Source organism: Homo sapiens, chromosome 11 (assembly GCF_000001405.40).
Source record: "Homo sapiens chromosome 11, GRCh38.p14 Primary Assembly".
NCBI lineage: Eukaryota > Metazoa > Chordata > Mammalia > Primates > Hominidae > Homo > Homo sapiens.
This window is the reverse complement of record NC_000011.10, coordinates 49,541,346-49,567,297: the sequence shown is the minus strand read 5'-3', so window position 1 is coordinate 49,567,297 and position 25,952 is coordinate 49,541,346. Positions and strand designations below refer to the sequence as shown.

At 36.0% G+C, this 25,952-nt stretch overlaps 1 pseudogene across 1 annotated transcript in view; it reads right to left on the bottom strand.

Annotated features, from left to right (window-relative positions):
* Positions 1-8,770, bottom strand: part of GRM5P1 (GRM5 pseudogene 1) — a 251,892-nt pseudogene extending 243,122 nt beyond the window's left edge. The window contains exon 1 of the transcript NR_027044.1: positions 8,583-8,770. The product of NR_027044.1 is annotated as a GRM5 pseudogene 1 (transcript). The remainder of the gene's footprint in view (positions 1-8,582) is intronic.
* Between the last annotated feature and the right edge of the window lie 17,182 nt (positions 8,771-25,952).

Genomic DNA, 25,952 nt, shown 5'->3' with positions numbered 1-25,952 from the left:
CAAACAGTCAGGGGTGTCAATATTGCATATGCCATCAACGCATCTGATATATTTTTCTGAAAACAAGTGCATACCATAGATAAGAGACAGTCTGAGGTGCAATGATACAGAGAACCCTGTAGTCTGAGGAAAGCTCCATTGTCATTACTATCTCAATCACACATTTGTGACCTTGTAAACAAGAAAATGCAGCATCCCCACTGTTTAGCCCCACAAAGTATAGGCCATATTTTAACTGAAACCCCCTCAACAAAAAAAGGCCCATAAAACACTATTGTACAAAGATGAAATCTGTAATTTTATCCATTAATTAAAAAGTTCTGGCAGTTCAATAGAGCTCACTAAATCATTGTAAATCATTGAAACAAGTGGTTTAGCAGTCTATGAAGACCTGGAACAGCCTTCTACAGCAAAGCAATAAACATGATGCAATCCACTGTTAACTAGTCTCAGTTTAATTATAAAGCAGGGATTTTAGACCTTTACCCATCCTGTAGCCTTCAGCTGATTTCTTGTTATTAAGGGTATACCTCTGAAGACTGTAAAGCATTATTTATATATTACATTACCTATCATTAAATGCTTGAGACTGTGGTTTTACATTTCTATAACTTGATCTCCACTTACTTATTAATACATAATATTTAAAAAGTGCCTTCTTTCTGTTAAATAATGTATAATAATTATTTAATGTAAGACTCACAATAACCCTGTAAGGTAGATATAATTACTACCTATCTTACTACCTCTAGAAATCGAAGTTTAGAAGTCAATAATCTTCTCCAAAGTATCAAACCTATAACAAATGGCAGAACCAGGACATGAATCCAACTATATTTGGCTCCAAAGCCCATACTTAATAAACAAATGATGAGGTCTCCCCACAAAAAACAAGTGAATTGGTTATTCAAACCTCATGCATTGATTGCAAAGCATTTTGGAGATTCTGCTTTCCATTAAATTCTTATGTAATGTACAAAAATTCATCAGAAAGCATACAAACAAATCAAGTAAATATAGGAAACTCTGTTTCCTAGCATCATTTAGATAAGGGTTTCTCAACCTGAGCACTATTGACATTTTGGAGTGGATAATCTTTTGTTGTGGGCGGATGTTGTCTGCGCACTGTTGGTTGTTTAGCAGCACCCCTGGCTTCTGTTCACTAGACGACAATGCCATCCCCTCCCAGCTCTGATAAACGAATATGTCCTCAGATATTAGCAAATGTCGCCTGTATGTCAAAGTCGCTTCCAGTTGAAAAACACTAATTTACATGAAAGTTAATCCTGGCAAGGTTGACATAATCACGAAAGAAGAGCATACCTAAGAGCCAATCATCTGGACCCATCAGTCTTACAAATTCTCTACCTGAAACTTCCAAATAATGCTAAGGAGAGACGGTTGAAATAGGCTTGCCCTACTCAATGTTTACATAGTTATTTGTCTGTATTATCTTGTTGAAAAGGTAGAAATTTCAATTTGAGAAAGACAAATTTAAGCTGTAAGAGTCAAGGTTGATATTACCTTACATTAAATACGCATAGTTCTAAGTATCACAAATTACAAAAAATGAATGTGAGGAGAGTATCCTACGATATACTTCCCAAATCAAAGGCTGTTTTTGATAGGAAATGCAAAGTTTATTGTAATTTTAACAAGACTACAACAATAACGATAACTTTATAAAGTAATTTACATGTTGATTTTTCATAATTTTATTTATTTTTAAACAAATGATATAAGCGTATTATTTACTTCTATGTCTTTGAATAATTCTACATTACTATGCATTTAGACAAATTGTTTTTTAAAAAAATTTTTGATTATTCTTCTGTAAAATATAATGAATGTAAGAAGGTTGCATTATTAAAGTGCTCACTATTATCACTGTGATTACAAGTTTTCATTTTCCTCAGAACATTTATACTCAAAATTTTAAAACCCATGGCCTGAACCAGGATTATTGTGAACAACTAATCATTAGAGAATTTTTCTTGAATCTGACATATTTGCAAGACCAATAGAATCATATATACATAAAATATATATTTTGCATCTAAGTCTTTCTTTTACACTTCTTCTACAGTCTGACTAAAAAAGGAGATATTTGAGATAGCAATTATGTATTATTTTGATTTCTGATTATCTTCAAGCATTTGCATGTTTATTTTTAAATATTCTTGAATATATGAGAAAAATAGATATTTGCATATTCCCTTGTAGAGGAAGGGCTGCTGACTCAAAATTAGTAGAATTCAAAAAAATTGATATATGTGTGTAAGCTGTAGGTCAGTATCATAAAAGTTTGGAAATCAGATGATCCTAGATTTAAATACCTGCTTTGTCACCTTTGTTTGTACTGTGGGACATTGGACAAGTTATTTAATCTATGTTAGTATTATGTTTTATCATTAAAGTCATAAAATAAAAATAAGACACAATCCACAGGGCAGTTAAACATTAAATGTAATACCATAGGAAACACAGAAAACTCGACATCCAAAGGCCTGGGTAGGATTGAGAGTTTATGCTCTGTTCACTATGGGTCAGATACTTTATTTTTTTAATTTATTTTTCTCTTTATGTCTTCTAAAAAACAACAGGATACATGTGCAGAATGTGCAGGTTTGTTACATATGTCTATGTGTGCCATGGTGGTTTTCTGCACCTATTGTTTTTTTTTAATTTGTGCAATTAATTCATCATATTCACTCCATGCCATGTACTGCTATAACCCATCCCCCAATTTGAAAATAGTGAAACTGAGGTACATAAATTTAAGTAACTTGCCTAAGGTCACACAAGTAGTAAGCCACAAAGCTGAGATTCAAACCCAGGCAATTTGAAGCCAGAGCTTGTACTTCCAATCATACCACAACTCACTGGAAACCACAATAAAATAATCCCATAATGTTTAGTGTTTAGCCACACCACAGAGTAAGGCAGCTCAATACAAAGGAAACCGGGTAAATTTTAGTGCCAAACAAATCAAATCTCTCTCTTTTGCATATGTATATATATGTATTTCCATTATTTTTGTCTTTTACATATATGGTAAAAGATATATACACACACACACACACACACACACACACACACATATATATGAATGAAATATATGTTTCCTTATTTTCAAAATAGGGGATGGGTTATAGCAGTACATGTTATTGAATAAGTATAATGAATTAATTGCACAAATAAAAATAAAGTGACCCACAGTGAACACTGCATAAACTATGCCCTGTTCTTTGACAGTAGAATAAAAAACTTAGTTTTTATAACTGAAAAGGAAAAACAAATAATGTCTTGTATTGTTGATATGAAAATTAAATAAAATAACATACCTACTGCTTAGCATGATGCCTGATGTGCTTAATAAATAGTAGTTATTAGAGCAGGGATGAGTCTGCACCAGGACGTTTGCCTGATGGCCCTTCTGACAAAAGTTATATACAGTTTAAAGATGATTCAGAAAGGTAAAATATAGATTTTCATCTCCTATGAATTTAAAGGAAATGAAAGCAAGCCTATGCTTTAATGTCTTTTAGAAACACATTTTAAACAACTAAGATAAAGGAATATCAAGATATTATCTGATTTACAAATAATTGAAAATTCAAAAGTGAAAATTGAAGTTTCTTTTCTTGGGTTATATAAATACATCCTGCACTAAAAATATTTCTTTTGATGCTCATGTCTTCTTATGTTCTCCTAAGCTTCACTCACTGACTAAAATGACTAGAATTAATATTTCTCTGAATATGAATATAACACATAACACGTATTTCTAAACTGCAGAATCTTCCTGCTTTGTAATAATACATCTTCAATATATCCAACCTCTAAACCAGCCAAATCAGCTTTATCATATAACATATATATATCTCAACATATATAAAAAGTAGTATCTAATATTTTATAAAGTTGGTTTATACATGATCTATCTATCTATATCGAGATACACAGAAAAGTACCTCACATGTACATATACATAATACAATAAGAATATATAAGAAAAAAATATTTGGTTATAGCTCTGTCTTCATCCCATGAGGATAGAAAACCTGGGATAAAATTGGTATACAAATAAATACAATATTTTTAATGATCAACCTCATCTCACATTTTCTACTTGTAGTACCACCTACCTTTTATTGACACTTAATTTAGTTTCTCTAACCAAAATTATCATTCTGTAAAAGACAATATAGTAAGACTCCTATAAAATATTAAATGGGTTTTGGAAAGAAATAAGAAAAGCAGAATTATTAAAATGCTTTAGTCACAAAAGTGAGCACCTTTGATGAGATAAGTCATTTTAACATGAAACACAACAATGTTAATAATCAGAGCCAAAATTAAAAATGGTATGTAGTTAATCAAGTATTCCCAAAGTCCGGATAGTTTGTGCTGGTTGGATATAATAGATATGAGTGAATTTTTCAATTTCCCCCTGGGTGTTTGTCATCATGTCCATAAGGTATACTATAAAGTGATAGTAAAGGCCTGTGTCTACCTATGGAAGTAAAGTGAGGAACTTGGATTATTCAAATACCAACTCCCTCTCCCAAATAATCTCGACATATCCTTTCATAAGTGAACATTGAAGAGTTTGGGCTTTTTGTGAGTGTGTAGCCCGCAACCAAAACATTCCCGTGTGATAGCACAAACCTCTAGGGGGTGCAATTAAAATATCTAGATTGTATATTTTGTCATGTGGAGTGTAAATGAGTAGGGAAAGCTTTTTCTCTTAAGAGAAGCTGTTATTTAGGAAGTGCTATGTACATTTTTCTCATAAGAAACTTGAAAGATCTGTCCAGAGTGCTGACAAGATTTCACGGGGAGAAGGCTGGAAATTTGATGGGACGCACACTACTAACCCAATGAGTTCAGGACGCAGTATTTTCAAGTCCTAAACCAATGGCATGTTTAAATGGAAATAAACATGCATAAAGGACAGAAATAGCCACAATTGATTCTTACATGTGTGATTACATTGAGGTAACTGAGAAATTAAAGGAGGAAACTCCCTGCACTCCATAAAGAAAACAGCAAAAAGCACACCTAACAAGAGGTAGCATACCTGAACACTCCACAGCTGACAGTAGAATGTCATGCAACTAAGACGTCCACAGAAAACCCCTGCTTATGTCCCACTGGAGGAAGGGCTGCACGTAGTCCTGGTCAATGCACCTTTGGCTGCTTCAAACGGCCAGTGCCCAGGATTAGAGACAGAAATTAGCTCTAGCTTTGTCCAGAGAAACTCTGAACAATAAAATACCATGTAGCGAATGGAGAAGAAGGTGAAAAGGAGAAGCTGCCTTCTCACTGGTCTGTATCAATTTCCTATTGAAAAAGTAAAGTATTGGAGACCCTATCTCCCTGGTTACTCGACGTTACAGTCCAGCTAAGGCAGCATCAAGATTGTGTCTAAATAAGCACAAGCGCTTGTTATCCTCTCCTAAATTTCCTTTCCACACAGCAACTCCTCTGAAAGGAAATGAGGGCAGCTGTAAATTCGAGTACCAGGTGAAAGAGCCCTCCAGGTGGACCTGTCACTTCCCTGGAGAGGTCCTAATGCACGTTGGGCTCGGGCCACCGGCCAGCCTCGGCACTCATGGGCCTGCCCTGGGTTTTCTTCCCTAAGTCGCTGTAGCCAGGGCTTCCTCCTTGGCATGCCGCTCATGCTTCCGCCGTGGGATAACTAGCAGGCTTTGTGTTCGAGGGGAAAGATAAATCCATGGAAGAGGAAAGAGCGGGAGGGCTCAGGCTGGTGTTCAAAGAGAGGCAATATAGCCTGAGTGAAAGAGATGTGCTTTCAGCACCACCCGCTGTCCCCCCTCTTCCTGCAGCAGGCGCCACGAAGCGGCCCCTAACCGATCTATTGAAAAGCAATTCTCCGTCCTCTTTTCCTCTCCACCTTTGCTTCTCACAATTCCGAGCCCTCGGGTGGTTTGCGGGAGCACACTCTGCATTCGAAACCACGCGCACCTGGCCTTAGAGAGCGGGAACTCGGATGCGAAGGCATGCAGAATCTCCTTTTCAACCCTTGCAGCTCTTCCCTCCTTCACCCCGTTGCTCGCGCCTTTTTCCCCAACAGGTTTAATTAAGGCTGTTCGCAAATGGAACAGACTTGAATCTTGTCGGCTTTGGCCACCCCTGCTCCACCCGCGTCCCCCTCCCCCAAACCAAACTGTTGAGCTACTCAGCAAGCCTATAGATCCTAAATCCTTCTCTGGCCAGGGGACACTTGGGCACACAGACACTTAGCAAGCTTACCCCCCTGTTGGCTGCGCAGCAAGCAGTGAGACTCGGTCTAGCTAGCCCCCCGAAAAGTTGGGCCACGGGGATCAGCAGGGCAGAGCCGGCCTCTCCAGTCCCCGGCTTCCCCCCCAAGATGATCTCAAGCTCATCCCCTCCGCTCAGCGTGCTCAGAACAGCCGAGCTGAGGGCGGCGTGTGCAGCAATCTCCCCGCTACTGAGAAAGGGGGGATGGGGGGAAGGGGAGAGAGCGGAGGAGGGAGGGGTGGTAGTTTGTATTTATAGAGAACACAGTTCTTTGCGCAACTTTTTGGTGCCACCAAGTGGCACAGTGAGTTCCTTTAGGAACATAGACTTCTGGGTGAATCTGGATGGGTAGACCAGCTCTGCAAACAGATGCTCACATGGCAAGGAAGTTGGAGGCACTCCCAGGTCTTAGTTTTCACATATTTACCGTCATATCTCAGCACCTGGGATACAAATCCCTAAATTCTAAGAATAAACCTGTATTAAGTGAGAAAGGGCACCTGTGCCTTCCTCAGACAGGTGGAAAGAGTGTCAAGGACATGGTAGGTCCCAGTTGTCTCCTAGGAGTGTAGACATCCTTGTCTCAGGAGGAATATCCATGATCTTCTTCTTCCTAACCCCTCTGCCCAGATTACATTGCATTTATGTTTTACTCTAAAACCTTCTTCTTGCTGCCCTGACTACCTAATCTTTAAACTGGATTGGCACTTATTTTCCTTGCCACCAAACCTTCTTCGTCAATGCTAACCTTAAAAATAGCATATGACTTGTTCACAACGTGCAGGTTTGTACCCTAGAACTTAAAGTATAATAAAAATAAATAAATAATAAAACACTAAAAAAATAGCATATGACTTTAGGCTCTCTGGATCTGAACATTTCTAAACAGCTCTCAGAACTCCAAGTTCACTGCACTACAGGCTGGAGGTTGGATTTTCCTCACTCATTTCCACAGACCTCTCAGCATGCATTATCCCAACAGCACAGTCAGGATCTTGCCAACTGCCTTCAGTACTTTGAGGAAGAATCCCCTGAAGCTTCCTTTATCCATATTTTATGAGTGTTCTTACTTCTTAGTATGCAGATCTTGAAACACATACATAGACACTACGGCATGGGACCTTCGTGTCCCCAAATGCAGAAGATCCTCTACATTGTTCAATAGAGAAACTGAGTACATGAAGGTTAAGGGGCTTGTTCAAGGTCATGTTTCTCTAGAGATCTGCCCAGGAACTACCTAGGGTAGAAATGAATGAACGCAGTGATGCCAAACCCGATCACCCTGTTCTTGTTCCTTCTACTACCCCACTCAGCCTATTCAGTCATATTCAGCTCCCTTCTCTTTCCTGTATTCATTTCTTTCATATTCTCTCTCTCTCTCTCTCTCTCTCTCTCTGTGTGTGTGTGTGTGTGTGTGTGTGTGTGTGTGTGTGTGAGAGAGAGAGAGAGAGAGATTATTTTTGCCAAAGTTCCATAAAGGAACCAAGAGTAAACATGTCTTCCTAGCTCCACTGGGAGTATATGAACTTGAGTTTATAGGTCCAGAGTTGCAGGTGTACCATCTTTACATGACCCACAGTTCCAGAAAACCTCTCCCTCCTAGTACTATAGTCCTTTTAGAAATGGAACACTGAAATTTACACCCAATCGGGTCCCTTCTTTGCTGCCTCTTTTTGGGGTGAAACACCAGCAACTGCTCTTATTAGCTCCCCCAAACACCTAATGGGCTCAAAGATAGAGGAGCCCATCTCCCTTCCTAAATCCTTGCCTTTCGTGCACATGTATTGGCATGACACACACACACACACACACACACACACACACACACACACACAGAGGAAGAGAGAGAGACACACACAGAGAGAGAAAGATCCAAACGTATCCTTTGGCTCGGATCTTTATTTTTTCCACCTCTGAGTTTTTTTTTTTTAGTTCGTTTTCTATGGAAACAAGCCCACTTAAATCCCTCACTTATGCAAATAAAAGCAAAATGATCTTCATAAACCTCCCATTGGAGCGATACCGCGGTAGCCCAGGCTCCTGACTTAAATTTATGTCTGATTCACACAGCACATGTCCTTGCAGGGTGACTTTTCTAAACTTGCAGGACCTCGTAGCGTTCCTGGCTCTACCAGCCCTCCACCTGCTCACCACTTGCCCTCCTGGGTCTTTTTAGCCCCAGCTGCCGCCCTTTGCTTGATCGCTCTCCATCCCTGCACTGGGGGAGGGGCTCCAGTGGTATCCTATATTCGTGGTAACTACAGACAAGAGAAAGAAAAAGGCGCTGCGCTTACCAGGTGTGCGCCCTGAGCCTTGCGCCCCCAGGCAGCCGCTCCTCGAGGGCTTCCTGCGCTTTCGTAGCGGCCTTGGCTGCAGCTGGAGCGCTAGTGTCGGCGATGGAGGCAGCGGTGACAGCAGGCAGAACGGCTGCGGGGCCCGCGGCGGTGGCGCTCGCTCTCTCGCGCCAGTGCCGGGAGCACGTGCCGCGCTTGGGCAGACGCAGCTGGAAGCGCAGAGCAGGGCTGGCTTATACTCCTGCAGCGCGCGGCGGGGGTTGGCAGAACGGCCAGGGCATAGACTCAGTGGGTGAATAAGGGTCTTAAAGCCTCGTCGTTTCGGGGTTCAGGCGAGGGTAGCCTTGGTCTCCCTCTCCTGCTCCTCACATTCCCTCTGGGAGCCATGGGAGGAGGAAAGCTGTGCGGAGGAGGCGTGGGTGGTGTGTCACTCAGAGAGAAGCTGGGGAGCAGGTAGATAATAAGGTTCTTTTTGACTATGGCACTTAAACCCCTGACAATGATTGGGAGAAGGGGCGTCACTGCTGGAGGGTACAGAAAGCTAGGAAGTCAGGGAAGCCCGAGATGATTCAGAGGTGTGACTGGTTAGAAAGAACGGCCTCTAATGATGTTACTTATTAACAATACCATTTTGCATTTTCTGCACTTCTTACAAACGATTCTTCCTACATCCGTTAAAATTTATTCTTCGTTGGCAGTTGAATGTCTTTACTTTCTCAAATGACTTTGCTTCCCTTCCTTCACCACCCCCATAACTGCCCAGGATTGTCAGCTATGCTGAGGTAATCTTTAAATACAAAAACAGACTTCGTTTCTGCCTCTGAAAAGGAGATTGGTATAAATTACTTGCATGGCTTAATTTAAAGAAAAGAAAGACATTGCAGCAATATGATTATTATTCCCGTTGTATTTCCCTAGCTGAATTTTGGGAACCAGGTGCTTTCAGCAGCTGGATCAAAGATGAAAAGATGAGTGCACTAAAGTCAAGGGGATTGATGCTGATGCATTCATTACTAATGCTCATTAGATTTTCCACCAGACCCTTGTCAATAAGGTAAGTTATTGTTTGATAGCTTCAGGATTTAACAACAAGAAAAAGAGATCTATCTACCACACCTTGTTGAGTTTTACAATGGCATCTTTCTTCTTGCATTTTCACGTCTACTGATGGGATCATTGTTACTTTTTGTATTTCTTTGACTGCAATTCACAAAACAAGTTTTAGTACTTTGGAGAGAGGCCAGGAAAGCTGTGAGTGAGCTTCCTTAATTAAAAAAGAAAGAAAGAAAGAAAGATGGCATAGATGAGAAAATAGAAAGATGGCATAGGTGAGAAAATACAAAAAATAGTGAGTTCGCAAGAAAATGGAGGGTGACATGACTAGATGACTCTGGTGATGTGATTAAGTCTGATGAATACAGTGATTTGTTTATCCAATTTTCTGAGGCATTAACAATAAAGATAAGGTCAAATTTGGGTTTTTGTATGAGACATTTAGCTTTGAGTGAGCATAGAGCACTCCAAGCTCCCAGTTTTTCTCCATCAGCTGGAGCTGGATCAAAATACATTAGTGAATGAGAAAGAAGTGAATGTTGTGTAGTGAATGTTGTCCACTCAGTCACTTAAACTTTTCAATTTCCTACACATATTTCCTTCTCTCCTGTCTTCCAGTGTTATGACGAGAGTGGGATGACATAAGACATGTCAAAGCATGTCAAAAAATGACAAAGCACTCCGTAAATGTAATACCTGCTTACCAATACATATCGACTTCCTATGCTCTAAAGGCTAAAATGTGAAGGACATTCTCCATGTTGAACAATAGTTAAATTTTCAGATGAGAAGTAAAACGTGATTATATAATCTTAAAATTGCTCAGTGACATTTTAAAATATAGCTTCATCTCATAATTGTAAAGTGCTGAATTAGGCAAAATTAAAATTAAAAGGGATATAGAAACAATGTTTTACATTCCAATAGTAAGTTCTGATTATAAATTGCTCAAGGGTATAACTTTTGCCTTAGGATGAGCTATTAATGAACAAAATATTTTAATTCCTATGTAGAACAGTAGAAAAAAAGAATGGAAAACACAGTCATTCTCAGAATTGATCAAGCTTAAAACTTGAAATCTCCATTCATTTCTGTCCTTATATGTGAGAATTTGTCATGAAATCCTGTTAGCTCTGCCTTTCAAATATATCCTAGAATCTTACCACTTCTAACCACCTTCACAGAGAACCTGTTGAATCCATCAACTATCATCTTTTACCTGCCTCACAGGAATAAATTCCAAACTAGTACAGGCTACATTCAGCACAGCATCCAGAGTGATCTTTTAAAGAATTTATCTTAAATCAAATCTCTCCAGTACCTTCTGATTTCACTGAGTAAAAGCCTAAGTCCTCTCAATAAATATTTGGAATATTTAAATGAATATTTATGAAAATAGAGGTACACCTGTTATATGCTGCCCTTCATTGTACAAGTTGGCAACACTGATGGTAAATCATGTGAATGTTTGCAGGAGGTCTGAAAGACTACTGAGTGACAGCACCTTTTCCAAATATGGGCACACTTACCTACTTCTTAAATTGTGTTTTTGCATTTGTGATTCTCAGACTTAGCTAGCTCATGTTCTAGACTTCAAGGGGGTTATATAAATTCTAAATGTTTTGCAAGTATGTGGTTATCTGAGCTCATTAAATAAAAGGTTATAAGTGGCTTAAAAATTTTTGAATGTTTTTATCAATTTAATGAACACTCGTTAAACATTTATTATTGCTATATTTTTTTGCCAGTTACTGTACAAAACACTATAATAGAATGATACACAAAATATTAACATATACTTACTTGGCCTTAGAAAACTTAAAGTTATTACATATATGTGTGTGAGTGCATATGTGTTTAAATTTATTCATTCATACCATTTATTAAATATTTATTAAACTATCATGTACCAGGAATGGCTAGGTGTTGGGGATAAAATGATGGATGAAATAGAATTCGTCTCCTGTCCTGTGAGGCTTAAAGTAAGGAACACATGAATAAACTAACTGATGTGTCACAATTTATGGGAAATAAAATGAAGAACAAGGTACAGTTATAAAGAATAGCAGGGCATGAGGAGGGGGCCTGGTATCTTGTTTTAATTGAACATTAAAAATAACTCTAAGACAAATATTAAATCAAGACCTAAAAAAGTGTATTATTATGCAAAAAAATGTGACATATGTCTATGTTTCTGTCTGAGTTAAGAGATGTGATCAACAAGGGGTGGCTGATCAAAGAGTGGGAAGAAAATTAAGGGGGTTTACAGGCAGAGGGAACAATATATGGAACTCTGAGGCAGAACAACATTTGCTGTGCTTTAGAAACTGAAAAGACAGTGGGGTAGATGAAGTAGAGCTTGACAAACCTTAACTGTAGCTCAGCTTGTTCAACTCCCAAATGAAGGTAATTTTATCTAATTTTATTTACTAAATTTAATCTGGCAACTTTCTAGATGTGAATGAGTCAATTAAATATGTTATTAAGAATGGAAAATGAAAGCCATGCAGAAAAAGGAAATGACAAATACTCCTATCATATTGACTAAGTGCTTTACCAGAAAATATTTAGTTACATCATTATCTAATATAAGAAATTTAGTCTGTTCATAGAAAGAATTTTATTCTTGCTGCTGTTACTAAATACTAGTACTATTATATAGACCCTTATATACATGGTCCCTAAAAACTCAGTGTCTTCAGCAGGGATTTTATAGCAAAAATAGGAACCTTTTTTATATTACGCACTCTTATATAAAACTTCAATTTAAGATCTAGACAAACCATGGAAATTTAATTCAAAGAAGTTGTTATTTATGAATCTATGTTTATTCATCTCTCTATTCTTCAGGGAGGACAGACCTATAAATATAGCCCTGTGAATTAATTTTTGTTATGATACTTGGTAAAAAATACAGTAAGAAAAGTATTTAGTCTTTTAGTGCTTTGGAACTGCAACTCCTTTAGACAGTGTTTTCCAAGATGAAGTCCTCTGTCCAAGCAGACTCTTGGCACATGTATGGCAAACACAGAGATATTCATCTTCACTCTGGGTGCACAAAATATAGTGTGTGCGTGTGTATGTGTAACTGTCTCATCACAAGGGGCAAAGGACTTCCTTTATATCCCAGGTGAAGACACAGAGCACTCATCCAAGGGTGAGGCAGAATGTACACTGGATTTCAGTCCTAACTGATTGCATTTGGAAACTGAATTTTGGCTCTTTCTTGAATAGGGGACTTGGACAAGCTGCTGAACCTTGGAACCTCCTTTCCTTATCTGGAAATGGGAAAATCAAAAAGGTAATGTAAAAAATACCTAACTTTCTTTGTTATACATAAAGTCACTCTGGAAATCAAAAGTGCTATAAAGTCTCAGCAAATCGTGGTCCTTTTTTCCCTCACATTTCCTCACAATATGACTCTCTTTGTTCCAGTACAATGTGATGTATAGGCAAGAATTTGAATAACGGTGTTGGATTACTAGGAAGGGTCATATATAACAAAAGAAAATCCTTTTCTAAATTCTGTTTTTATGTTAACAGGAAATTTCTTGTTTTGTTTTTTTCTGTAAAATGTGAATAATAGTACCTATGTAGAGGTTGCTAAGATAAACAATAATGGATGTGAAGCAATTGTACAGTCCTTGAAATGTGGCAAGTACAGGGTATTTGGTGGTAATGATGATGATGATGGGAATGAGGATTAGTTTATTTTAATTTCCAGTTATTTACATCCCACATTAGCATGACCAAGACACTAAACATAGCCTGGGACATAAAGTCCACTTTTTAAGATACTCGGAAATTTGAAAACTACTTTCTAGTCTAGTAGAGCTCATCTCTTTGTAAATATATTTAAATTATAAGACCAGGTCTTGTAGTAATTCTTCATCAATACTTTTGGCAAAGATAGTAAAATTTTTCACTTACAATAAAAAATAGGTTAAGTAAAATGGCAGCAGTATTCTGAAATGCATGTAAATGACCAAGTAAGGGTATACAGAAGTTTTTGTCCTTCCAACCAGAACCTCAGACTCATTGCTCAATAGAATTGCTGGGAATGTTTCACTATATATACAAAAGACAATTATGCTCTTAATGGCTTAGATATAGCTGTTGCAAGTATTTATAATACATTTAGTCTTGAGGACTCTAAGCCACCTGAAATCTAACATTATGTTTAACACACTGTAACTCTAGTGATTTGGGAAATTTATGTTGTTTTTCAGTGTTACATTTCCTAGAAGCAATTAATTGAGCTAAAGCCAGTAATTATTTTAAATTATGTAGTAAGCAATGAAAGCCAGAATTTCGAAAATTGATGAGGTGAGAGCTTATTTATGTTACTAAATATTTGCTTTTTATACCTCTTTAAGATTAAGTAAGAATGTTGAGCTGGGCTAGACACACAGATCTATCAGAAACATTGATGGATAGATCGAGAGCCCATGTGCTTGTTGAAGCAGTAAATCATTCAGTTCTCTTTCTTAGTGTTTTTGTCTGTAAAATGGGAAAAAATGCTAGTTCTGTAGCTTATTAACTTATTGGGAAGACTAAATTAGTTACACTTGCAAAGTTCAGAGCTTGGTACATGGTGAGCATTTAACACACTGTAGCACATGAGTAAAAGCATGATCTCTGAAGCCAATCTGCATGGATTTGACACTTGGCTGTGTTGCTTACTAGTTGTGTATTGACTATTTAAGCTTTCTGTACCTTAGTTTATTTATTTATAAGTAGAGAGAAAGATTAGTGACGACTACTTCATAAAGCCATTGTTAGTATTAACTTGTTAACTCCTGCTAAGCCATCAGAACAGTGCCTTGTAATCATACAATGTTAGTTATTATTAGCTTATAATAATTTAGTAAGCACTTTAGATCCAGGCATCATTCAACTTAAATGTGTCCTTTAATGAAATTGAACCTGATAATTCAAGTCCCAGGAACTAGGAAACACTGGGCTTTCTAAACGTTATATTGGAATGAATATCTTCAGAATATTCAGAAAGAGTAGAAGTTCTCACTAATCTCTAATTCCCCTTTTTCCCTTTTATCATGACTCTTTATTGTTTTGAAAGACATTTAATATTAATCTCCTTTTTTTCCCTCTAATGAATGCATGTTTACCCTTCAAGATTAACTCCAGTGAAACACTGCCTGCCCAACTCCCTTGAAAGACTGGACACCATGTCTTTCAGCTACCATAAAACTTTGCTAAAAAGCCCTAGCATGTCATATTATATGGCGATTATTCATTAGGTTTCTGCCTCATCAGGTTGCCTTATATAATGCAAACTCTTCTTAGGCATTTTATTTTATGCATTCTCTGTACTGGCTATTGTGTCTAGCATGTAGTGGTTACCAAACACACTTTTAACAAATAAATTAATGTGTTCTAGCAATTAATCCAGATTTTCACAAGCTAGATTCTAAAGTAGCATAAACTAGTTCAGATACATAGACTTTTTAGTGCAAGGATTCTGAACTTTGGCTACATGTTAGAATCACGTGGGAGATCTTTTAAAACCACTGACTTACTTGATAGCAGGTGAGGCCTCAAGGAATGTTTAAAAAGTTTCACAGATGGTGCTAATGTACTGCCAAGATTCAGAACCACTCTTCAGTCTTTTTTACATCCTTTGTATTTATTTTAAATTAATTTGGTACAAATGACATAGACATGAGTGTAGGTGACATTTTATCAAGTAAAGCACAATTTGTCAACATGAGAATTAATGCCCTGTTTACCCCTTCTGAGAATGAGAATTTTTTTCCCAATGGATACCCCCATTTCAGATTTGTAAAAATTTTAAGGCATACTTTATGTCAAAAATAGACATATCTCTCAAATATTCTTCGTATCAACTATGGGAAGTAACTGATGAGACCCAAAGAGGTGAAGTTGTTAGCACTTACCATATTTTTTTTAAGAGGCAGGTTCTCATTCTGTTGCTTAGGCTATGCAGTGGCAATCACAGCTCACTGTAACCTCAAACTCCTGGGGTTAAGAAATCCTCCTGTCTCAGCCTCTCCAGTAGCTAGGACTACATATGTGAATCCCCACACCTGGCTAATTTTATTTATTTTTTTGTAGCGATGGTGTCTTGCTATGTTGCCCACGCTGTTCTTGAACGCTTGACCTCAAGTGATTCTCCTACCACAGCCTCCCAAAATGCTGAGATTACAGATATGAGGCACCACACCCTGCCTACCATACAATTTTAAAATAGCAACTCCAATATGTAAAATCATATCCTAGAACCCCAAACTTGTGCTATTTCCAGTTATCTTATGCTGCATCCTAACTCTGTAAACACTCTTCCCCATTGACTCTTAAACTGTGTAAATCTTGAATATTGACATACTTAATTCACATATACCAGAATAAAATATTTGTTATAAAATCTCAAGTAGACATTACAGCATTTCTAGAAAAATTTTAAAAAGAAAAGTCATATTAGCAATTCATGATATAAAAATATATAGGGAATTAAAATGTTCAAAATATTACAAGATAATTTATTCAATATTTGATGCAAAAACAAATAGGATGACAAATATTTATTGTCCAGTAAATTCAAAATTAAGTGAATTTTTTTTGCGTTTTGTTTTCAACTGTTAATATATATATGTACTTCTGTGCATCCATGTACTTCTTAAGCAAATATTAATTGAGCAGTTGTTATGTGCTATGTATAGAGGTTACAAAGAGCAATAACCTCAAGGTTCTGAAAGTCTAGTTGCATATACGTTATACGCAAAATCCTAGCTTTTAATTGTTTTACTTGAAATTGTTTTCTAAATTATTTCCTATATTTGTAAATACAGTGGCTAATGATGATTTTCAACTACACATTTTTCGATTTTATTCATATATAACTATATAAGGATATCCTCAAGCAAGTGTTAAAATTTTAAAAAATTACATTTAAGCTCATAACTATTTATGAGTTTACTCTGAACTACCTAGAATATTTAAGCAATCCATTTTCCAATTATTGCTCACACTTCTATTTTTAATACAGTGTATTGTTTTCCCCACTTCTTAGTAATATTTTGAGTGTAGAAAAGCCAAGAGATTTGTAGGCTTATCTGTAGATCATAGAACGCTAGAAGGGAATGTGTCTGGAACTCTCTACTAGCCAAGTCATCCTGTGAATTGAACTGACAGTGCTTTATTTCTAAAGAATGACAATAACTAGGTTGCTATAAAAAACCTTTCTGAATGTGATTTTGAGAGAGGGTGTATATTATGTCATTTCCAGAGAAATGACCAGAGGCCTAGGTCAATTGACTGAGGTCGGTAATGGTGGTAGCCCCCATCCACTATGGTGAGTTCTCTATTAGGGCTATTACCCGCTTGCTACCTCTAACATTAATTAGTCTGGCAGACCACCTCAAAGGAAAAATTAGAAGCAATATACCTGTCCTTTTCCCTGAAAACTAATAGATGGCCTCCCTCCATCCTACATCCTCCAAAGACCAAGTGGTTAAATGTATTTTTGTTAATATAAACAAACAAACAAAAAAACCCTTCTAACTTTTTTCTCTCATTAACACTGGTTTCTGCACATATCCAGAAGCTGACCACTGTTACTATGAATGGAAATCTTTAGACAGTATTTCATAAGCATCTCCATTGTATGCAAACAGTGACAGAATACTACAATATTTTAGGTCAAGAAATATGAAATTTCAAAAATTAAATAAATACAAATTAAAAAATAAGAAATTGGAAAAATAAAAAAGGAAAAGCCAAGAAAGTTTTCTGTCATCTCCTTTCTTTTTGCATGTCACATTGTCACTCAAAACAATGAAGAACAATGGCAGGAAAAGAAGAAAGAGGAGAAAAAGACATTTAAATAGGAGATACGGAAGAAAGGGAGGGAGGGAGGAAAGAAGAAAAAGAGAGAGTGTGAGAATAAAGTGTGTGAAGAAGACAGGAAGGAAGGTAAGAAGGAAGAAGAAGAAAAAACAAATGTCACAGAGAATTACGCAGAAATTTAAAAATCCAAGGGCTATGTAATCTAAAATAAACCTCAGAATTTATAAAGAAGTTATCATCAAATGAGGATTAAAATTTATGTCAAATTTCCAAATTTAAGACTGAGAGTCTCACCTCAAGCCCTCTCTTCTGATCTCTTGATGTTCCATGGACTCATGTCTTGTTTCCATAGTGACCGTTTTCATGAGCCTTTTAAATAAGAAAAATTGATTTTCTCTCAACACTTGTTTTCAGAATCTTTCCTCCATTCCTGAAGCAATCCAAAGAAAATTGTCTTCAACTTAAATGCCTTTAAGTTAGGTATAAACTATCAATGGCGCATTAGAAGGAAGAGAAATGAACAAGAGGTATTGAGCACCATAAATTAAATATTTAGAGATATATAGATAGAATAATATAGCCTTGTATTTATTCCTGAGTAAATGGTTATAAACTTAGATTTCCATCTTTCATGGAAACATGGACTCTGTAAACCAATCGAGAGCTAGCAAGTAAACAGAAACGTATTTGGAGCGTAAGTTTTGCTATTGGGGGATAAGTTAATAACCAATAACTGCTTTTTATTTTTATATGCAACAAAGTCTAAATATTACTCTCCTTCATTAAATAAACTGAAAAATACAGTTCAGAAAGCTCCCTAGAAACCTTGGCCTATTCAACCAGAAACATGTGCTATCTAAATGTGAGCATTCAATTTTGTCAGATCCATAATTATTAGTTCAAAATTTTAACTTTATTATTTTTCTATTTGATCATTATATATCTTGTATCACAGTAATCAATTTCCAATTAGCAAAAGTAAATAATACATTGAATTAATGTATAACAGTAAACACTAGTGGCTTCCTGATATAAGCTTAATAATCTCCACCTCACTCATATATCTTGACAAATTCTCTTCCTTAAAGTATGCATCAGGTCGATTTTGTCCCAAAGTCCCACAAATTTCTATAATCACACAGTTTCACAGTATATAGTCATTTACTATTTATTTTAATGATCTCATTTTATTTCTATGAACATACGGCCAATTTTATCTTTATGAAATTTCATTTTTTTCTATCATGTCACCATCTCTGCTTAGAACATGTCTGCCACATTTTAGCCACTTAATAAATATTTACTCAATGAATACATGAATTGACATCCTTAAAGTTGCCTTTCATTTACTTCAATAACCCATTAATTCATGAGAAAAAAATTGAAATGAAGACCTATTCAGATTTATGGTTAAAAAAAATTAACAGCAGAGACTAGGATTGCAACCCTGCTTTTTTTTTGTTTTGTTTTCCATTTGCTTGGTAGATCTTCCTCCATCCCTTTATTTTGAGCCTATGTGTGTCTCAGCACATGAGATGGGTCACCTGAATACAGCATACTGATGGGTCTTGACTCTTTATCCAATTTGCCAATCTGTGTCTTTTAATTGGAGCATTTAGTCCATTTACATTTAAGGTTAATATTGTTATGTGTGAATTTCATCCTGTCATTATGATGTTAGCTGGTTATTTTGCTCGTTAGTTGATACAGTTTTTCCTAGCATCGATGGTCTTTACAATTTGGCATGTTTTTGCAGTGGCTGGTACCGGTTGTTCCTTTCCATGTTTAGTGCTTCCTTCAGGAGCTCTTGTAAGGGAGGCCTGGTGGTGACAAAATCTCTCAGCATTTGCTTGTCTGTAAAGGATTTTATTTCTCCTTCACTTATGAAGCTTAGTTTGGCTAGATATGAAATTCTGGGTTGAAAATTCTTTTCTTTAAGAAGGTTGAATATTCGCCCCCTCTCTCTTCTGGCTTGTCGTGTTTTGTAGTGAATTTGAACGTTGGCCTGTCTTCCTAGGTTGGAGAAGTTCTCCTGGATAACATCCTGAAGAGTGTTTTCCAACTTGGTTCCATTCTCCCCGTCACTTTCAAGTACACCAATAAGATGTAGATTTGGTCTTTTCACATAGTCCCATATTTCTTGGAGGCTTTGTTCATTTCTTTTTACTCTTTTTTCTCTAAACTTCTCTTCTTGCTTCATTTCATTCATTTGATCTTCAATCACTGATACCCTTTCTTCCAGTTGATCGAATCAGCTACTGAAGCTTGTGCATTCGTCACATAGTTCTCATGCCATGGTTTTCAGCTCCATCAGGTCATTTAAGGTCTTCTCTATGCTGTTTATTCTAGTTAGCCATTCGTCTAATCTTTTTTCAAGGTTTTTAACTTCTTTGTGACAGGTTTGAACATCCTCCTTTAGCTCGGAGAAGTTTGTTATTATCAATCTTCCGAAGCCTTCTTCTCTCAACTCATCAAAGTCATTCAGAGTGAACAGACAACCTACATAATGGGAGAAAATTTTTGCAATCTACCCATCTGACAAAGGCCTAATATCCAGAATCTACAAAGAACTTAAACAAATTTACAAGACAAAATCAAACAACCCCATCAAAAAGTGGGCGAAGGATATGAGCAGACACTTCTCAAAACAGACACATGAAAAAATGCTCATCATCACTGGCCATCAGAGAAATGTAAATCAAAGCCACAATGAGGTACCATCTCACACCAGCTAGAATGGCAATCATTAAAAAGTCAGGAAACAACAGGTGCTGGAGAGGATGTGGAGAAATAGAAACACTTTTACACTGTTGGTGGGACTGTAAACTAGTTCAACCATTGTGGAAGACAGTGTGGCGATTCCTCAAGGATCTAGAACTAGATCCTTGAGGACTAGAAATACCATTTGACCCAGCCATCCCATTACTGGGTATATACCCAAAGGGGTATAAATCATGCTGCTGTGAAGACACAGGCACATGTATGTTTATTGCGGCACTATTCACAATAGCAAAGACTTGGAACCAACCCAAATGTCCATCAATGACAGACTGGATTAAGAAAATGTGGCACATATACACCATGGAATACTGTGCAGCCATAAAAAATGATGAGTTCATGTCCTTTGTAGGGACATGGATGAAGCTGGAAACCATCATTCTGAGCAAACTATCACAAGGACAGAAAACCAAACACCGCATGTTCTCACTCATAGATGGGAACTGAACAATGAGAACACTTGGACACAGGGTGGGGAACACCACACACCGGGGCCTGTCATGGGGTGAGGGGAGTGGGGAGGGATAGCATTAGGAGACATACCTAATGTAAATGACGAGTTAATGGGTGCAGCACATCAACATGGCACATGTATACATATGTAAGAAACCTTCATGTTGTGCACATGCCCTAGAACTTAATGTATAATAAAAAAAATGAAAAACTTTTAGCTAACAGAAAAAAATTAACAGCAGATTACATTTATACATACATTATATATATATAAAATATATATGTATGTAGATATAGATATAAGAATATAACCCAGACTATAGTAGTTGATAAAAGGGTTGACTAATTTTTTTAAATTCTGATTGCTATGGACTAAATCATGTCCTTTATTTTTAAATACCATTTAAAGATAAAATTATACAATCTTCAGGCTATGATACATCTTTAAAGTAGATTTTTCAGATAAAATACAGGAAGCTGTTAAATTTGAATTTCAGATTAACGAATTTTTTAAAGTATACATTCATAATGAAAATTGCATAACTCTGTGCCCCAAAGATTTCATGGGACATTCTTACACTAAAAATAAGGCTGTTTTACTGAAATTCAAATTTAACTGCAAGTCTTTGCGGGGAAAACAGTGATAATATGATCTGATGGGTGCCAAGATTATGTCCAGGTGCTACACGAGAGCAGATGACAAGTACTTTGGACACATTCACAAGACACAAATTTAAGATCTCGAGGTCAAATGTTAGAAAGCCATAGTACAGTATGAAGCTACATATACTGAAAGTCAAAAACATATAACTGGCATACAAGAGTGGGATTATAGTGGAGGGCCATGGTAAAATTCTTTCAGGTGTTTTGAAAAAGCTCTTTTTCCTCTTTAAGCTGAATTGTGAAATCAAAGAGCCTACATCCTGTGGTAATTAATTACAGTAGATATCAAAGAAGCATCATCAAAAAGCAACACCCAGACTAATACAACGTAGCTATTGATGAATTTTTTAAAATGCATGAAAGCATTAGTACATGAAGCCTCCGGCAGTTTCTATGAAATTTTGAAAGTAATTTTGATGAAAGTTACCCTAATAATATTTGAGTATCTAAGAACAGCAACTCAGCCTTACACATCTCAGTATTTCTAGCACTTAGCACAATGCCTGATACGGAGTTAGTATGTAATAATATTTTTAGAATAAATGAACGAATAACTTCTCACCCCCTTAGTTATTCTTTATCCTCTCTGCTTCAAATTCACTTTGTCTAACGGTTGGTCTACTGGGGATTATCTTGATTAAGACTCAAACTTACAGGGACTATGGAAAATAACTTAAGTCGTAGAGCTTCCTTCAAGGAAGAAATGCAACCAGAATCTCTGCTCACAGTATGCAAAACAGGATAGCAAAGTTATACTGGGTTCGAATGGGCATCACCATCTCTGAGAAGCAGCCTGGTACATACACAGCAATGGTATCGAGGTGGCTGATGATCCTTGAAGTCCGATAGATGGAGGCATTCTAGTGTGTGACCTGCCAGGGCCCTAAAGAGTAGCAAACACCTGTTTTCCCCTAGTGGAAATGATCGGGCCCAGGTTATGCCATTTTCATTATGAGAAAGGTGTGCTAAGGTTCGTAACATTCAACCCTAGCAAGAAATGGCAGTGTGGATAGTAGATGGTTAGTGTGACATAAAGGTGTAGGAAAATGTTATATAGTGAATGAGATCTATTGGACACCAGGACAGATTTATTTTAGGATGAATAATGGTCCTAAATCTCCCCACTCAAAACAAACAAGCAAACAAACAAACAAACAAACAAAAAGAAAGAAAATGCTTAAGGTTCACCCCCATAAAAATTCAAAGAAAATTTAAAATTATCTTTTAAAAAGTTCCAAAAAGTGCTACAATATTTTGATTTATCCCCATGATAGATGCTTCAATATTTATTTTCAAATAGCAAGAATAAAACACAAAATCTTTTTTTAAGTAATGCATGTATTTCATGCTCCTGCAATGCTTGTGATTAGTTTGCCCTTTAAGTAGCCCAGTAGTAGGTGTAAGATGCCAAAACTAATTCTAGCCAGTCCCTTCCTACTGCTGAACCCAGGCTAAAATTGTGACACCTCCATTGGTAACGTATGATTCTGTGATAGGTAATTCCGTTCAATAGTCAACAGAGGCAGTCACATAGGATATACCTGTGTGCTGACTGTGGATGCTTTGTCACTGTGTCCTTAATGCATTTAAAAATTGTATTTACTCATTGTGAATATCTTATAAATGCACATGATATATCATTTAAAATATATAATACATTAATGAGTAAAAGTAAGTATACCTCCTGTTTTCTTATGTCCTTTCAGATGTATCTGAAATGTTTATGTGTTCTTTATTTTTATACAAATTGAGTATAGCATATTAAGCACACTGTTCTACACCTTATTTTTTTATTTTTCAGTACAACTATAGTGGTTTCATGAATGTACAGGATTCCTTTGAAGTGATGTACTGTAATGTTTTACCAGTGCCTATAAACAAGCTGATTCCAGAATTTTTGTATTATCAATAATATAACAAATATCGTTATTAAATATATCATTTTGCACAACTGTGAATATGTTCTAGAATATGTCCAAATGGTATTTTCAGTTGTTATTTTGAAGTATATTTTCAAAATTCCTTCCTTAGTAGTTGTTTTAATTTACACATCAACAGGAATTACTTGGTTTTGAAATGCTCATAATTTTATCTCCTTCTTTTCCTAATAACTACATATCCATCTTTGAAGATCAGCCACTTCCTCATACACCCACCAATGCAGCATGTCATCACACATGTGATCTTGGCAAACAGGATATAAGAAAGATTATATATCAATATGATCTTAATTTGCATTTTTTATGAATATGTCAAAATATTATTTCATATGCTTAAGAAACAGCTATAATTTTTCTGTCAACCATTCCTAATCTTTACTACTTTTTGTTTTGAGTTCATCCTGTTTTCTTTATTGATTTGTAATCTTTTCTTAACAAGGAAAGTAACTCCTTGTGATTCAAGTTGAAATTATTTTTCTAGTTTCCCATTTATCTCTTGACTTTATCTTGTTGATAAAATGAGATTTTTAAAAATTTTTCAGGGATCAAACTTATCAATCTTTTCTAATGACTTCTGAGTTTTGTTCTTATTTAGAAACATTATTTTGAATAATCAAATTGTTTATTTTCTTCTAAGACTTTTAGAGTTTATATTTCATGTCTATTTCCATTTCATTGTGTGAGTTATCAGAATTTATTTTGTTCTAATGTGTGAGGTATAGATCTGTTTTTATTTATTCCAGAATTCTATCCACTTTTACCAGCCATAAAATTAAATAATCTATTTTTTCTCTACTAATTTGAAGGTCATGTTTATTGTATATAAATAGCCAATTATATTTGGATATATTTTTATATCAGTAGGTATTAAATAATGGCAACTTTGCGCCTTTGGGGACATTTGGCAGTCTCTGGAGATGTTTTTGATTGTCACAACTTGGGAGAGTTATTGTCATTTTTGGGTAAAGGCCATGGATGTTGTTAAATCCTACAATGTACCAGACAGCATCTGACAAAAAGAATTATCCATCCCTAAAGTGCTAAGACTTTACTAATGTTCTAGTTACTCACTACTGTTCTAGACTTTATATTCTGGTCCATTGATCTGTTTGTTTATATCATACAGTATAAACTATTACAGTTTTCTGATATAATATGTGTGATGATTAATACTGAGTGTCAACTTGATTGGACTGAAGGACACAAACTACTGATCCTGGGTGTGTTTGTGAGGGTGTTGCCGAAGGAAATTGACGTTTGAGTCAGTGGGCTGGGAAAGGCAGACCCACCCTTAATCTGGGTGGGCACCATCTAATCAGCTGTCAGCATGGCTAGAATATAAGCAGGCAGAAAAGTGTGAAATGAGAGACTGCCTAGCCTCCTGGCCTACATTTCTCTTGTGCTGGATGCTTCCTGCCCTTGAACATCAGACTCCGTTCTTTAGTTTTGGAACTTGGAATGCCTCTCCTTGATCCTCAGCCTGCAGATGGCCTATCGTGGGACCCTGTGATCATATGATTTAATACTTAATAAACTCCTATAATATATATAGGCTACATGTAATTATTTATTTGCCTTGTTTTGTAGGAAATAGAAAAGAATTTTGTGGGAAATAGAAAAAAATAGGAGTTTATTAAGTATATATATATAATAGAATATATATATATAAATAGAATGTGTATATATATATGTATGTGTGTGTGTGTGTGTGTATATATATATATATATATATATATATATATATATATATTCCATTAATTCTGTCCTCTAGAGAACCCTGACTAATACAACATCTAATAAGGCTATTCTCTCCTCAGTATGTATCTTTTTATTAAAAAAAAAATCCTGGTTTTTACTGATTGTTCACTTTACAAAAAAAAAAAGAAAAAAAAGAAAAAAAAAGTTTCCCTACCCCCCAAGCTACTAAGTAAATCTCAAAGCATTTTTGTTGACATGGTGTTAAATGTTAAACAATTTAGGGAGAATTGCTGTCTTTATATTTTAACACCTCTTATTTCAAATCATTATTTGCACTCAACGCCTTCTTTTGTATCCCTTTTGTCCTCTAAAATTTTCTTTGAGTCTTCCTGTGCTTGTTATATTTACTACCTTTTAACATTTATTTGAAATGGGAATTTACCTTCATGATATTTTTGTAGTGTTCTTTGTTTTAAACTAATTGGTTTTTATAAACTAATTTTCAGCTTAATTATTTTATCCTTTATAAATATTTTTGACTCTACAAAGTTTTGAAAAAATTTTGTTTTACAGTAAACAATTACAAAATCTCCAGAGAATAATTTCATATCCTTTCTAATTTTTATACCTCTTACTTTCCTTTATCTAATTGTATTGTCTTATAACTCACAGACAATACTATATAGTGGTGGTAGTAAAGAGTTTCCTTGTTTTGTTTCTGGCTTTAATGAGAATGCTGTTTTCCGATAAGCATAATATATCTCTAACTGTTGCTATTTTGTACAAAATAAATGTTAAATTCTAACAATTTTTATAAACTTTTTTGAGATTATTGTGATTTGTCATTCCTAGGGAAATTTGTTAATAGGTTACCCAATAATAAAACATTGTTTTATTCCTGGAAAACTGTAGCTGGTAATGATTTATTATACTTCTAATATGTTTCTAGAATCTGTTT